General features: G+C 41.4%; 2 protein-coding genes and 1 long non-coding RNA gene across 6 annotated transcripts in view; 2 read left to right on the top strand and 1 right to left on the bottom strand.

Moving 5' to 3' along the window:
• LY75-CD302 (LY75-CD302 readthrough) overlaps window positions 1-12,581 on the top strand; it is a 136,129-nt gene that overhangs the window by 102,961 nt on the left and 20,587 nt on the right. The window lies entirely within an intron of this gene.
• On the bottom strand, window positions 1,544-6,606 carry LOC124906083 (uncharacterized). The gene is made up of 2 exons (XR_007087273.1): window positions 3,844-6,606; window positions 1,544-2,977 (listed from the first exon to the last, which is right to left on the bottom strand). It is a non-coding gene; the product is annotated as an uncharacterized LOC124906083 (long non-coding RNA).
• Window positions 3,588-12,581, top strand: part of CD302 (CD302 molecule) — a 29,581-nt gene continuing 20,587 nt past the window's right edge. For all 3 annotated transcript variants that reach the window (NM_001198764.2, NM_001198763.2, NM_014880.5), the window contains exon 1: window positions 3,588-3,664. In NM_001198764.2, the coding sequence (NP_001185693.1) occupies window positions 3,598-3,664 (67 nt within the window). In that variant the 5' untranslated portion in view covers window positions 3,588-3,597. The remainder of the gene's footprint in view (window positions 3,665-12,581) is intronic.

The raw sequence follows: 12,581 nt of genomic DNA, 5'->3' as shown, positions 1-12,581 counted from the left end.
CCCACTTCAGCCTCCCAAGTGTTGGGATTACAGGTGTGAGCCACCATACCCAGCCTGGGATCTTAGCTTGAAAAGAGTAATAAATTTGAAAGACTCAATGAGAGAAATAGGAGAGGACAGTGACTAAGGTAAAATCAAATACAAGGATTGCAGAAGAGGCATAGAAGGCCCAGATGAAATTAAAAGCCATATTGTTTATAGTGACAGCCATCGGGAGAACTGATTGATTTCCTCCACCTGTCCTCAGTTAACTTCAGTAAAGTTGAGGAAAAAGAGAGCACGGGCCAGGCGAGGTGGCTCATGCCTGTAATCCCAGCACTTTGGGAGGCCAAGGCGGGCAGATCACTTGAGGTCAGGAGTTCAAGACCAGCCTGGCCAACATGGTGAAACCCCACCTCTACTAAAAATAGAAAAAACTTAGCCAGGTGTGGTGATACACGCCTGTAATCCTAGCTACTCGGGAGGCTGAGGCAGGAGAATTGCTTGAACCTATAAAGTGGAGGTTGAGGTGAGCTGAGATAGCGCGACTGCACTCCAGCCTGGGGGACAGAGTGAGACTCCGTCTAAAAAAAAAAAAAAGCATGAAGAAGAAAGCGGAGACCACAGATTCCGAGTTGGCCAGGTGAGCACACCAGGGGAACAAGGGGACAGAGGATGTGGTATTTCGGCTGGGTGGAGAAGGGAGAAATAAAAGGCTGAGAAAAATGCAGGCAAGGGACTGAAGTCTGGCATGAGCCAAAAGAGGATGTAAGTTGGAGACAGAGTGAAGGAAAATTAAGGGTATGAGGTGTAACTGGAGAGTAAATGGGAGAGCGAAATATAACAGTACCCACATACAGGCAATAAGTAGTCTATTTCATCAGATTAGCATCAAAAATGAGGCAGTGTGCACCAGAGTTAACAATAAAATAATATAATTTTCTTTAGTACAAATGACTTAAAATGACAGTGTTAAAATGGGTTTTGCCTTAATTAGATTGATTCATTAGGATGTCAATTCTATTGTAAATATAAAAATATTTGAAAAGTAGCTTAACACAAAACCACATTGATAAAATATACTTTGGTGCCTGAGGTGGGGGTGGAAGAGATAACTTTCACAATTACATGATTGCTTAGAACTGTTCATTTTACTTCTGTAGTTAGGAGGGCAAAAGGGTCCAGAATCAAGATGTGTCAATATTCCAATATAGAGTATCTTTGGAAGGATTTGCTCTGGTCTGGAGTTTGGTATATAATAAACTCAGTATTGGCAGCCTGAGAAGAAAAATGGAAGTAAATAAGTTAAGCAAGACCTTAATACTTTGGCAAAGGGGCAGAACCTGGAATAGGTGGGAGAGTCCAGCAGAGGAGCTGGGCTCTGGTTCATTTGTTGGCATTCTCTGTGAGCCCACGGGGGAATCACATCCCTTCTTTGGGTCACTCAATTTCCTTACTAGTACCACTTCTAACACTCTATGACTCTCCTTATAGACCCCTTGGGTCAAATTTCCTTGGTGTAACCACTCTGGATTATCAGAAGTGTGGAAAGGGTTAGAAAGAGTTGGAAAGGGTCAGATTTTATTTTTTTAAAAATAGACTAATTTTTGAGCAGTTTTAGATGTATACAAAAAATGTAGCAGAAGGTACAGAGCTCCCATGTACCTCCTTACACATACCCCAGTTTCCCCAATTATTAACATCTTGCATTAGCAGGTACATTTGTTACAGTGGATGAGCCAATATTGACACATTATTAACTAAAGTCCATTGTCCACACTAGGGTTCATCTTCGTTTTGTGCATTCTATGGGTTTTGACACATGTATAGTGATACACATCTACCATTACAGTATCCTACAGAATAATTTCATGGCTCTAAAAATCCTCTGTGTTCCATCTATTCATCCCCTCCTTCTTCCCACCCCAACCCCTGGCAACCATTTATCTTTTTACTGTCTCCATAGTTTTGCCTTGTCTAAAATGTCATATAGTTGGAATCATATAGTATGCAGTCTTTTCAGATTGGCTTCTTTCTCTTAGCAATACATATTTAAAGTTCTTCCATGTCTTTTTGTGGCTTGATAGCTCATTTAATTTTGGTACTGAGTAACATTTCATTGTTTGGATGTGCCATTGTTTATCCATTCACTTATTGAAGGACATCTTGTTTGCCTCTAGGTTCTGGCAATTATGAATAAAGCTGCTATCAACATTCATGTGCAGGTTTTTGTGTGTATGTAAGTTTTTAACTCATTTGGATAAATACCAAGGAGTTGTGATTGCTAGATGGTATGGTAAGAGTACGTTTAGTTTTGGAAGAAGCTTCCAAATTGTCTTCCAAAGTGGCTGTACCATTTTGCATTTGCACCAGCATTGAATGAGAGTTCTTTTTGCTCCACATCTTTGCCAGCATGTGGTCTTGTCAGTGTTTTTGGATTCTGGTATCTAATAGGTATGTAGTGGTATTTCATTTTTGTTTTCATATACAATTCAGCAATGACATATGATGTTGAGCATCTTTTCATCTATTTGCCATTATATAACTTCTTTGATGACGTGTGTATTCAGATCATCTGACCATTTTTTTTAACTGGGTCATTTGTTTTCACGTTGTTGAGTTTAGACTTGATTTTATAGAACTCTTTTGCCAATGACATGAGGCTTAAACAAGCACCCTTGCTTGACCCTGGCTAGTGTTGTCCAGAGGCCCTCATGGGTGAAGTATAATTGCACAGTTTATGCATACATTGTAGCAAACATAGCTTAAAGACTCTTCATCCAGGAGCTGGTAACAGAGAAAAGTTGTCTAAGAGACATAGTCCACTGAAAGGGGTCTTTGAAAAGGAGGATTCTGGCCAGTAGATCCAAAGAAGAAGGCTGGCAAACGCCACCTTAACCAACTGATCCAAGTTAACATCAGTGATGAGACATCGACATCTTGTCCTTCTCGAGCACGTACATCACTTCTGGGGAACTCTTTCCCAAAAAAGCGCAACCTGAATCCAATTAGAAGGAAATGTCAGACAAAATGAAACTGAGGGACATTCTACAAAACGACTGGCCAGTACTTTTTAAATGTGGTTTGATCGTGAAAGAAAAAGAATGACAGAGAACCGTCCTAGATTAAAGGGAGACTAAGGAGACACGACATGCAATGTATGATCCTGGATTGAATCTTGGAACAGAAAAGGACCCTTAGAGGGGCAATTAATGAAATGTGGTAAGTGCTGTAGATTAGCTAATCGCATTATCCCAGTGCGAGTGCCCTGTGTTTGATCACTGCACTGGCGTTATATACAATGTCAATATTTAGAGAAGCTGGCTGAAGGGTTACGGAAATCTCTTGTGCTGTTTTTGCAACATTTTCGAAAGTCCTAAATTATTTCAATTCAAATGAAAAGTTTAAAAAACAAAAATTAGAAGTTCCAGAAGGCCGCGCGCCAGCCGCTCCTGCGGGACGGGACACCCGGGTTCTCCTGGTGGGAGCCCCCAGTGCCGTTCACGTTCCGCCCGGGGGGGGGATTAAACTCGCACGCGAGAAGCACCGCCCCCGCTCCCGCCCCGCCCCGCTCCTCTCCGGCCGCGCAGCCGCTGCCGCCCACCCGCACCCGCCGTCATGCTCCGGGCCGCGCTGCCCGCGCTCCTGCTGCCGTTGCTGGGCCTCGCCGCTGCTGCCGTCGCGGGTAAGCCCTTACGTAGTCCCTCGCCGGGACCGTGCGCGACCGCCTTCGCCCCCTTCCCAACGCACGCTCTTCGTCCCCGCGCACCCGAGGGCGGCCCGCAGACGCAACACCCGGCCGGCCATCCCGCCCTTCCCTGCACGCCCGTCCCCCGTGGGTCCTGGCTCCGGGTCACCTCTCACCCGCCTGCCCTCGGGGAGGGGAGGTGGCCGAGAATAAGGGAGGGCTCTGTCTTCCTCGGAGTCCACATCCTCACCGCAGACCCCACTCCGCGGGGAGGGAACCCCCAAATTAGGCCAGTTGGCCGGAGAACTGAGGGACTTGGAGTCGCACGACGGGCGCCGTTTCAGGGCAATTTCGGGCTGAAATGAGAAGCGGGGACGTTGGTGGCGATTTCCCCTGCTGGTGCGCGGCCGGAGTGGGGTTGCTGGGATGGGGGTGGGGGCCGGAGGAAGTAGGCCCTCTTTTGCAAGCAGCGCTGTTTGTCTAGTTGGTTGGTGTTCAAGTTGTTTAAACAGGAAAACAGTTCAGCCAAATAACCCCTGGATGGAAGAGGAACGGGAATAGGCAAAGCTTGGATTTCACTGAAATCAAGGAGTTTTAAAGTTCTAGTCTGCTGTTGTGCAAGTGACATCTGAAAAATCACACACGTGATCATTCATTTACAAAACGACTCGTGAGGAAAATGCACAATTCTATTGACCGTGGTCTTTATTTTTAAAAAATTTCCATACAAGCATGTCAAAAATATGTGGATGGGGAGACTCTGGAGAACACAGACTTCCAAAAACACCACTGACTGAATAATTCCAGGAATTAAAGAGCAAAATAAACAAGAACTAAATGAGTACTTGTGTGGGCTTAAATAAAGTGCAAGAGATTTAAATAAAATGCAAGAGATTCCCCCCCCCCACCCCTTGCCCCAGATTTCACTGCGTTTTTATAATAACTGCCTGCTCGAAGTCTACTGACAGGAATATTTCAGTGGACCTCAGTGTTGGAGGCAGCAGCAGCTCAGAACTTGGATACAAACCCAAGGTTCCTTTCTTGAAAACTTCTGTGGACCTGCATTTATGACTGGTTGTGACATCTGCTGCCTATCAAAGGGGCAGAAACAAGATGTGCCCATGTTCACATTGTTCAGACTGGGAACATTAATTTTGTCTAAGACAAAGCTGGGCTGTCTCTGAACCCTCCTTCTGCACACCCTCATTTTGCGAGCCAGTAACATCTCAACTCTCATGTAAACCACCCTCTGCGAGGCTGTGCATTTGTACTTTAGGCTAGTCGAATTTTCTTGTCAGATTTTTCTTTCTTGTCAGACTTTTAAAGAAAATCAGTTTCTAGATTTTGGTATGTCTCTTCTTCAGTGAAGCTGTTTTGACCAGCAATAGAGGGCAAATTTCCCTTTGGAAATTTTTGTGCATTTCCTTTGATAAGTCCAGTGTGGATCAATAGGCTTTTCAAGAGCTTTAGAAAAGTGCATGATGAATAAATTAATGTTAATTAATCAGCTCCTCCCAGTCAGGAAGCTTTAAGGATTAATTTGGAAATGAGTGTGAGCTTTGACCTAGCTAGTTAACCAACTTATCTGCACTTCAGTAAAACAGAGATAATACTTACTCATGGGGCTATTGGGAGCATTAAGTGGGAACTCCACGTCTAGTCCCTATTACAGGCGTGGTTCATCTTGGTTTCCTTCCCTTTATTCTCTTCATACAAAATGAAGGGTAATTGTTGCAACCAGAAAACGTATGAATACCACCTTATGTATATTGGATGTTTATGGTTACTGAACACATTCATATGTATGCTAATGTTATAGGGCTGAAAAACTAAGTGTGTTTTTCATAATACTTTACAAATCTCCCATCCAAGCAAGATCAGGGGTCATATTTGGCTTAGAACTAAGTCAAGAAAGAGTTTGTTGCTGAATACCAAGATCTTAATAGAAAAGCTCTTATGATGTTGCATAATAAATATGGGTATTGCATATAAATGTGATGTTGAAACGGAAATCATTGTTATTGTCTGTCATTCTGGAGGTTATTAGTGAAGTGATCTTAACCTTGTTCTTAGCTATTATTTTGAAAATCACAGTGGACAAAACATTCTTTAAATTCCTGAGTGAAAATCCATGGCATCGCTTTAAAAAGTTTTTCCGTAAGGGTGCTTAAGCACATAATAGATGATCAGTATGTATTTATTTGGTCAGTGGTTTCCTATGCCTGGCATGAGCTGAGTGAACAAGCATGTTCCGAGTAAGTCCTCATTCTGTGATCATCATGTGGATCAGAATCTAGGGATTTTGAATTGCCATGTCCTACAAGCCTTAGATGAGGTGCCTCTGCCTTCTTCCCTGATGTCATCTCTTACCACCCTTCCTGCCATTCACTCTGTGTATCCACAGAGTAAACAGTATCTGGGTACTCCAACACCTCTGGTCCTTCTGTGCACACCACCTTCCCCCAGTCCTTGGCATGGCTGCCCCCACCTCCACCATTCAGATCTCTGTTCATATGTCACCTTCTCCGAAGCCTCCCTGAACACCCACATTCTCTGTCACATGTCCATGTTTTATCTTTTCCAAGCCTTTCTGAATGCATTGTGTTTATTCATCTGTCTTGCTTGTTGCTTCTCTTACCAGGGGAAAGAAGCTCCATAACAGAGATTTTACCATCTTGTGGATTTTTGTTTTGTTTTGATTTGTGTCTCTGCACTTTATTCTAAGTTATAATAAAAGGATGAAAAAATTTAGGTGAGTTATTTAAAAAGTAGGTAGGATAAGTGGATTGCAATTTTTTTCAAATTATATTACCTCTGCTATGCACTCATTTCATAATGAATTCAAAGCCTTAAATCATCTTAATCTATTGCTGCCACCTTTTCTTTCTTTCTTTTTTTTTTTTTCCGAGATGGAGTCTCACTCTGTCACCCAGGCTGGAGTGCGGTGGCGCAATCTCGGCTCACAGCAACCTCTACCTTCTGGGTTCAAGCAATTCTCCTGCCTCAGCCTCCCGAGTAGCTGGGATTACAGGCATGCGCCACCATGCCTGGCTAACTTTTGTATTTTTAGTAGAGATGGGGTTTCACCATGTTGGCCAGGCTGGTCTCAAACTCCTGGCCTCGTGATCTGCCCACCTCGGCCTCCCAAAGTGCTGGGATTACAGGTGTGAGCCACCGTGCCCGGCCTGATGCCACCTTTTCTGACTCTTGTGTATGGCACAGTTATGTTTCAGGGGAAATTATCTCAGATTAAATATTAGAGTATTTTAAAATAAATTTTGAGCTGGGCGTGGTGGCTCACGCCTGTAATCCCAGCACTTTGGGAGGCCGAGGCGGGTGGATCACGAGGTCAGGAGATCGAGACCATCCTGGCTAACACGGTGAAACCCTGTCTCTACTAAAAATACAAAAAATTAGCCGGGCGTGGTGGCAGGCACCTGTGGTCCCAGCTACTCAGGAGGCTGAGGCAGGAGAATGGCGTGAACCCAGGAGACAGAGCTTGCAGTGAGCTGAGATCGCGCCACTGCACTCCAGCCTGGGCGACAGAGCGAGACTCAGTCTCAAAATAAATAAATGAATAAATAAATAAATAAATAAATAAATAAATTAATTAATTTTGAAATGTTAATGTTTATTTTTCTTCCAATGAAAAAGTGAAATTTCAATTAGGTATTATTTCAGGACTTCTTTTACTGTTGAGAATCTTTTAACAATTTGCTTATGTGTTGAAAACTAGTTTTGCAGCAAGGTTACTTTCCATAATTTTTATTGTGCATATCAAGTATTTCATTCCTTCTGTGGGTTATTTAGTGTTTTTTTTTTTATTATTTTATTTTATTTTATTTTATTTTATTTTATTGTTTTGAGACAGGGCCTCACTCTGTCACCCAGGCTAGAGTGCAGTGGTGCAATCATGGCTCACTACAGCCTTGACCTGCTGGGCTCAAGTGATCCTCCCACCTCAGCCCCCTGAGTAGCTGGGACTACAGGTGCATGCCACCATGCCCTGCTAATTTTTTTTTTTTTTTTTTGTAGAGGTGGGGTCTCACTTTGTTGCCCAGGCTAGTCCCAAACTCCTGAGCTCAAGTGATCCTCCTACCTCAGCCTTCCAAAGCTCTGGGATTACAGGTGTGAACTGCCACGCCTGGCCTATTTTAGATTTTGAGAGCAAATCTTGAGACCAAATCTTTAAAAAATAGACCAGTGATGCCCAAAGAGAAAGGTACAGATTAACAATGGCACACCCCTTCTATGAATATACATTATAACAGCCCTTCTGAAGAGGGAAGTGATGGGACAATATGGAGATGGATGTCTTGAAAGCTAGATTGGGAAGAGTGATATGGAGAGGGGATGAGGTGTCAGAGTGCCTCAATTTATTTGGGATTCAGAGAGATCTTGAAGCTCAGAGTACAGCCACAGAATCTCTGGATTAGTCAGGGACTTGGAACAGCCACTCCCTCCTCCATACATTATAAATGTAATAAATAGCCCCTCTTCTTCATCTGTCTGTGCCACAGTTGCCCTTGCGGAAGTTATGTGACTACAACTCATATCTTAATGGGAGAGGAGCAAAGGTCTTATTATTGACAATGAAAATGAAAAAGAAGTCTTTCCCTTTTCCTTTGTTAACATTTAGAACAAGTATGTCCCAAGAATCACTTCCTCATGCTGTGCCTGTTTTTTTTTTCTTTTTTTAAAAAAAAGAGAGACAGAGAACTTATAAAGGAACAGAGAGTTCTATTAGATTTGACTGGTAATGCAAAGTATTCCTGTGGATATGACATTATCTTCTTTTAGCACATGATAATTTTAGGCAGAGGATCTATATAGAAACTTTTGGAGTTATGCTAAGTACAGCTTTTAAAATATTCATGAGGCTCCTGAATTTCTGTACGTATTAAAGAATTATAAAATTATAAAATCCCTAAGAGTCATTTAAGTGCATTATTAATAACAACCTATCATTCAGGACTGCTGTGAAGAAATAAGAGTAATAGGCCCTTTGCAGAGAGCTTAGTGGGCAGGTTTTTAATTATATTAGGATTATGGCAAAGATACTTAGCGTTGAAGACGACTTAGTTTAGTCTTTTGTTCATGAGGTGCATGAACGTCAACAATCTCCTCACAGGAGTTATCCAGCCTCTATTTGAGCACTGTTCTTCTCAAAGTAAAAATATATCTTTTGAGTAGTGCTTAAAACTTGTTTCTGGGGCACACACTCTGATCGGGGATCTATAGCATGAGAAAAGGGGTTCCATGTTGAATTAACTGGAGTTACTGCTAATGCTGAAATGAGCCTAAGGAGAAGGCAGTTGAAAGTTTTGGGGAAGTGAGTCAACAGTCTGTTTTCTATTTTTCTATACATACCCTGTTAAAAAAAAATTTTTTTTTGGTCTTGTCACATGCAGATGCTCCTCGACTTAGAATGGGGCTATATCCCAATAAACTTGTGAAGTCAAAAAATCGTAAGTTGTCCATTATTAAGTTCGGGACCATTTCTGTATTGCTAACTTAGTTATTCAGCAATGGTCTTTGAGTAGCTGGTTATCATTATCATCATCATAGTCATTCCCATACTGTGCAACACAGTAGCATTGTGTTTGCTCCTCCCTCTGTTTGCCTGAAATATCCATGTGACTTCTTTCCCTATCTTTTCAGACACACACACACACACACACACACACACACACACACACACACACAGAGTTGGTTCTCTGTTTCTCTGGAGAACCCTGACTAATACAATAACCAATAAGATAGTATGGAAATAAGACAGTGTGACAATCAAGGCTGGATTGTATGAAGCATTGCATATCCACCTTTGCCCTCCTTTGAATCACTCACTCTGGGGGAAGCTACCTGCCATGTCATAAGGACCCTCAAGCACCCCTGTGTAGAAGTCCACGTGGTGAGGAACTGTGGTGTCCTGCCCACAGCCAGCACCAGCTCACCACCCATATGAGTGAGGCTTCTTGAAGCTGACCTTTCAGCTCCAGTTCAGTGTTTAGATGGCTGCAGCCCTAGCCAGCATCTTCACTGTAACTTCATGGAGACCCCAAGCCAGAATCACCCAGACAAGCAACTGCTTCAGAATTCCTGACCCAGAGAAACTGTATATAATAAGTGTTTCTTGTTTTAAGCTGCTAATTTTTTACATAGCAATAGACCACAATACACCATCTAACATATTATTTTATGTATTTGTCTTCCTTTTGCATAACTGCGTCAACTAGAACATAAATTTCCAGGAGGGCAGGAATTTCTTTTCCTTTTTGTTCACTGTGGAATCTCAAGCACCTTGCACAATTTTTTAACAGCACCCCCTCAGATAGGTACTGTTATTCCCATTATACAGATGAGGAAACTGGGACACAGTAAGGTTAAATAACATGTCCACGATTGTGTAGTCAGAGCCAGACTTTTCTCCACAGTCTAATGGGCTTAACCAGAGTCCTGTATTGACCCACTTCTATGCATCCCTTCCAGTGTTATGTTCAAGACAGAAGGATAGTTATTATTGAGAGTAGTTAGATCTCAGACATGGTCTCTGCTGTCGTGGCGTTAACAATCATTTGGGAAAACAGGATGCATATCAGATAGCCGCTATATAAAGAAGGATCTAATGAGTGCTATGTAAACATGTATAGGCCATCAGAGGGTAACACATTTCCTTTTCCAAAGAAGAATGACTACCCATAGTTCTTATGATTTGTGCCATATTATTTTTAAAACCCTAGACACAACTAATTGGAATAAGGATAATTTCCTTAGTCAAAAGCTGGCTACTCTAGGCTAGGCATCAGCCCAATATGGGGCCTAGTATATGAACGCTAAGCCTATTTGACTGTTGAGATAGTATCCTCAGTTTTCTTATTGGCCATGTATCTGTACAATAAATCTATCATCTGGTAGCCTGAGCATGTCTTTAGTCCTTGTTGCCAGAAAAGGTCTCTCATGCATAATGCAGTTTAAAAGTCCTACAGATGTTCAAAGGAGTCACAGGTTAGAGGAAGATAAGGCTGAGACACTTCATGGAGAATTGACACATGAGCTGCCACTGAAATAAGAATATACCTTAATCAGTGTTTTAGAGATCATATCTTCAGATCGTTTTAATTTATAAAGTATAAGAACTACATGTTTTCACAGCATGCCAGGAGCAAAAGATGAAAAAAAGAACTATAAGTGCTTGACTTGAGTGTTGATTATATTTTTGTGGACTTATTAGACATTTTATTTTATATAAATGGTGTTTCAAAAATTAATTCATTTTTATATATTGTCGAGTTATTTGTTATAAGTAGAAAACACTATCTGTAGTTTTGACTAGAAATAATACAAAAGTGCATTTCTGAACCTGTGGTTCAATAATTGCCAATGATTTATAAAAGTGTTTCAGGTGTCATTCAGTGTGGTAATGCAGTTCCATTTCACTTTTTTAAAATTCCATAAGGTAAAAGAAAAAGAGCAATAAAAGGAACCAGAAGAAAGTAAAAAGGGAAAAAAGAAGAGAAAGAATAATCAAAATTTGCAATTTAGAGCCTCTGCCCTTTTGACTTTCAGTTTGAGTTTTATTCTGGAAATGACTTCTGTGTCCTCTGTCATGTCTCTGGCAGCAGAGAGGGGAAGGAGGGAAGAAACCTGCCTTTTTATCCTAGTTCACTCATTCAATGAATATTTATGGAGACCTTACTAGGTACCTGTAACTGTGCTTTTTATCATATGCCCTCTGCCTGGATTTTTTTTTTCTTTTTCCTTTTATCCGTGGCAACTTCCTATTTATCCAGTGAGCTGTAGCTTAAATATTGCCTACTTTTTGAAATGCTCACTTATTCTACAAAGTTATACTCTCCTTCTCCTACATCTCATAGCATTTTACCTATCCTACCTTCGGAATATCTGTTTGTCTGTCCGACTCTTCCATCAGACTGACCACTTCAAGTGTAGAAGACTTTTACTCTTTTTCTCATCACCCCTTAACACTAAGCATTATACCTAACACATAGGAGTTGCTCAGCAAATGTCTGATATGGATGATGGGTAGATGGGTGACCAACTGTTGACAACTTGTTGAAAAGTATAAAAGATGGAATTTTGCATCTGGCTATCATGGAGTAGGAGACTAACACTCCCATTAAGAACAACTAGAAAATCTAGATTAAATTCCATAAGAATCGTATTTGCTGGCATCAGAGAGCTGCTAAGGCAGTTTGCTGAGGTGAGCCCAACAGTCTGTGTATTACTTTTCTCCTTAGGAGAGCTGGTAAAATCTTAAATAGCTAAAAGCAGAGCAGAGTTTTTGGCAATCTCATAGTGTTGAGGAAAGAAAAAACATGAGTCTTAGCTCACCAAAGAGGAGGTGGCTCTAGTTAATATCCAGGCTTTCAACTGGCAATCCCTACGGATCAAAAGTCTACAAAGTCTAGAACACCTCTTCACATAGACTCAGTCCCTGCTGATCAGAATCCTTTCTAAAGGAAGATAACATCATTTAGAGTTACTACAATTTTTCATACACAGTGTTTGGCATTTGATAGAAAACTACCAGACAGAACAAAAAAAAAAAACAGGCCTAAGGGGGTGTGAGGGTGCAGGGTAGGAGAGTAGAGAACAGACTAATAACTGACCTAGAAATTAGAGTTTTCAGAAATGGACTTCAAAATAACTACGATAAGTTAAAGAATATAAATACTAAGATTGAGAATTTTAAAATATAATCAAATTGAAATTTTAAAAATATAATCAAGTTGAAATTCTATAACTGAAAAATCACTGACATTATAAACTCAATAGATGGGGTTTAACAGCATGAAAAACTGAAGTAGGCTGGGCACAGTGACTCACGCCTGTAATCCCAGCACTTTGGGAGGCCAAGGTAGGAGGATTGCTTGAGACCAAGAGTTCAAGACCA

Source organism: Homo sapiens, chromosome 2 (assembly GCF_000001405.40).
Source record: "Homo sapiens chromosome 2, GRCh38.p14 Primary Assembly".
Classification (NCBI taxonomy): domain Eukaryota; kingdom Metazoa; phylum Chordata; class Mammalia; order Primates; family Hominidae; genus Homo; species Homo sapiens.
This window is presented reverse-complemented; position numbering and strand designations above follow the sequence as displayed.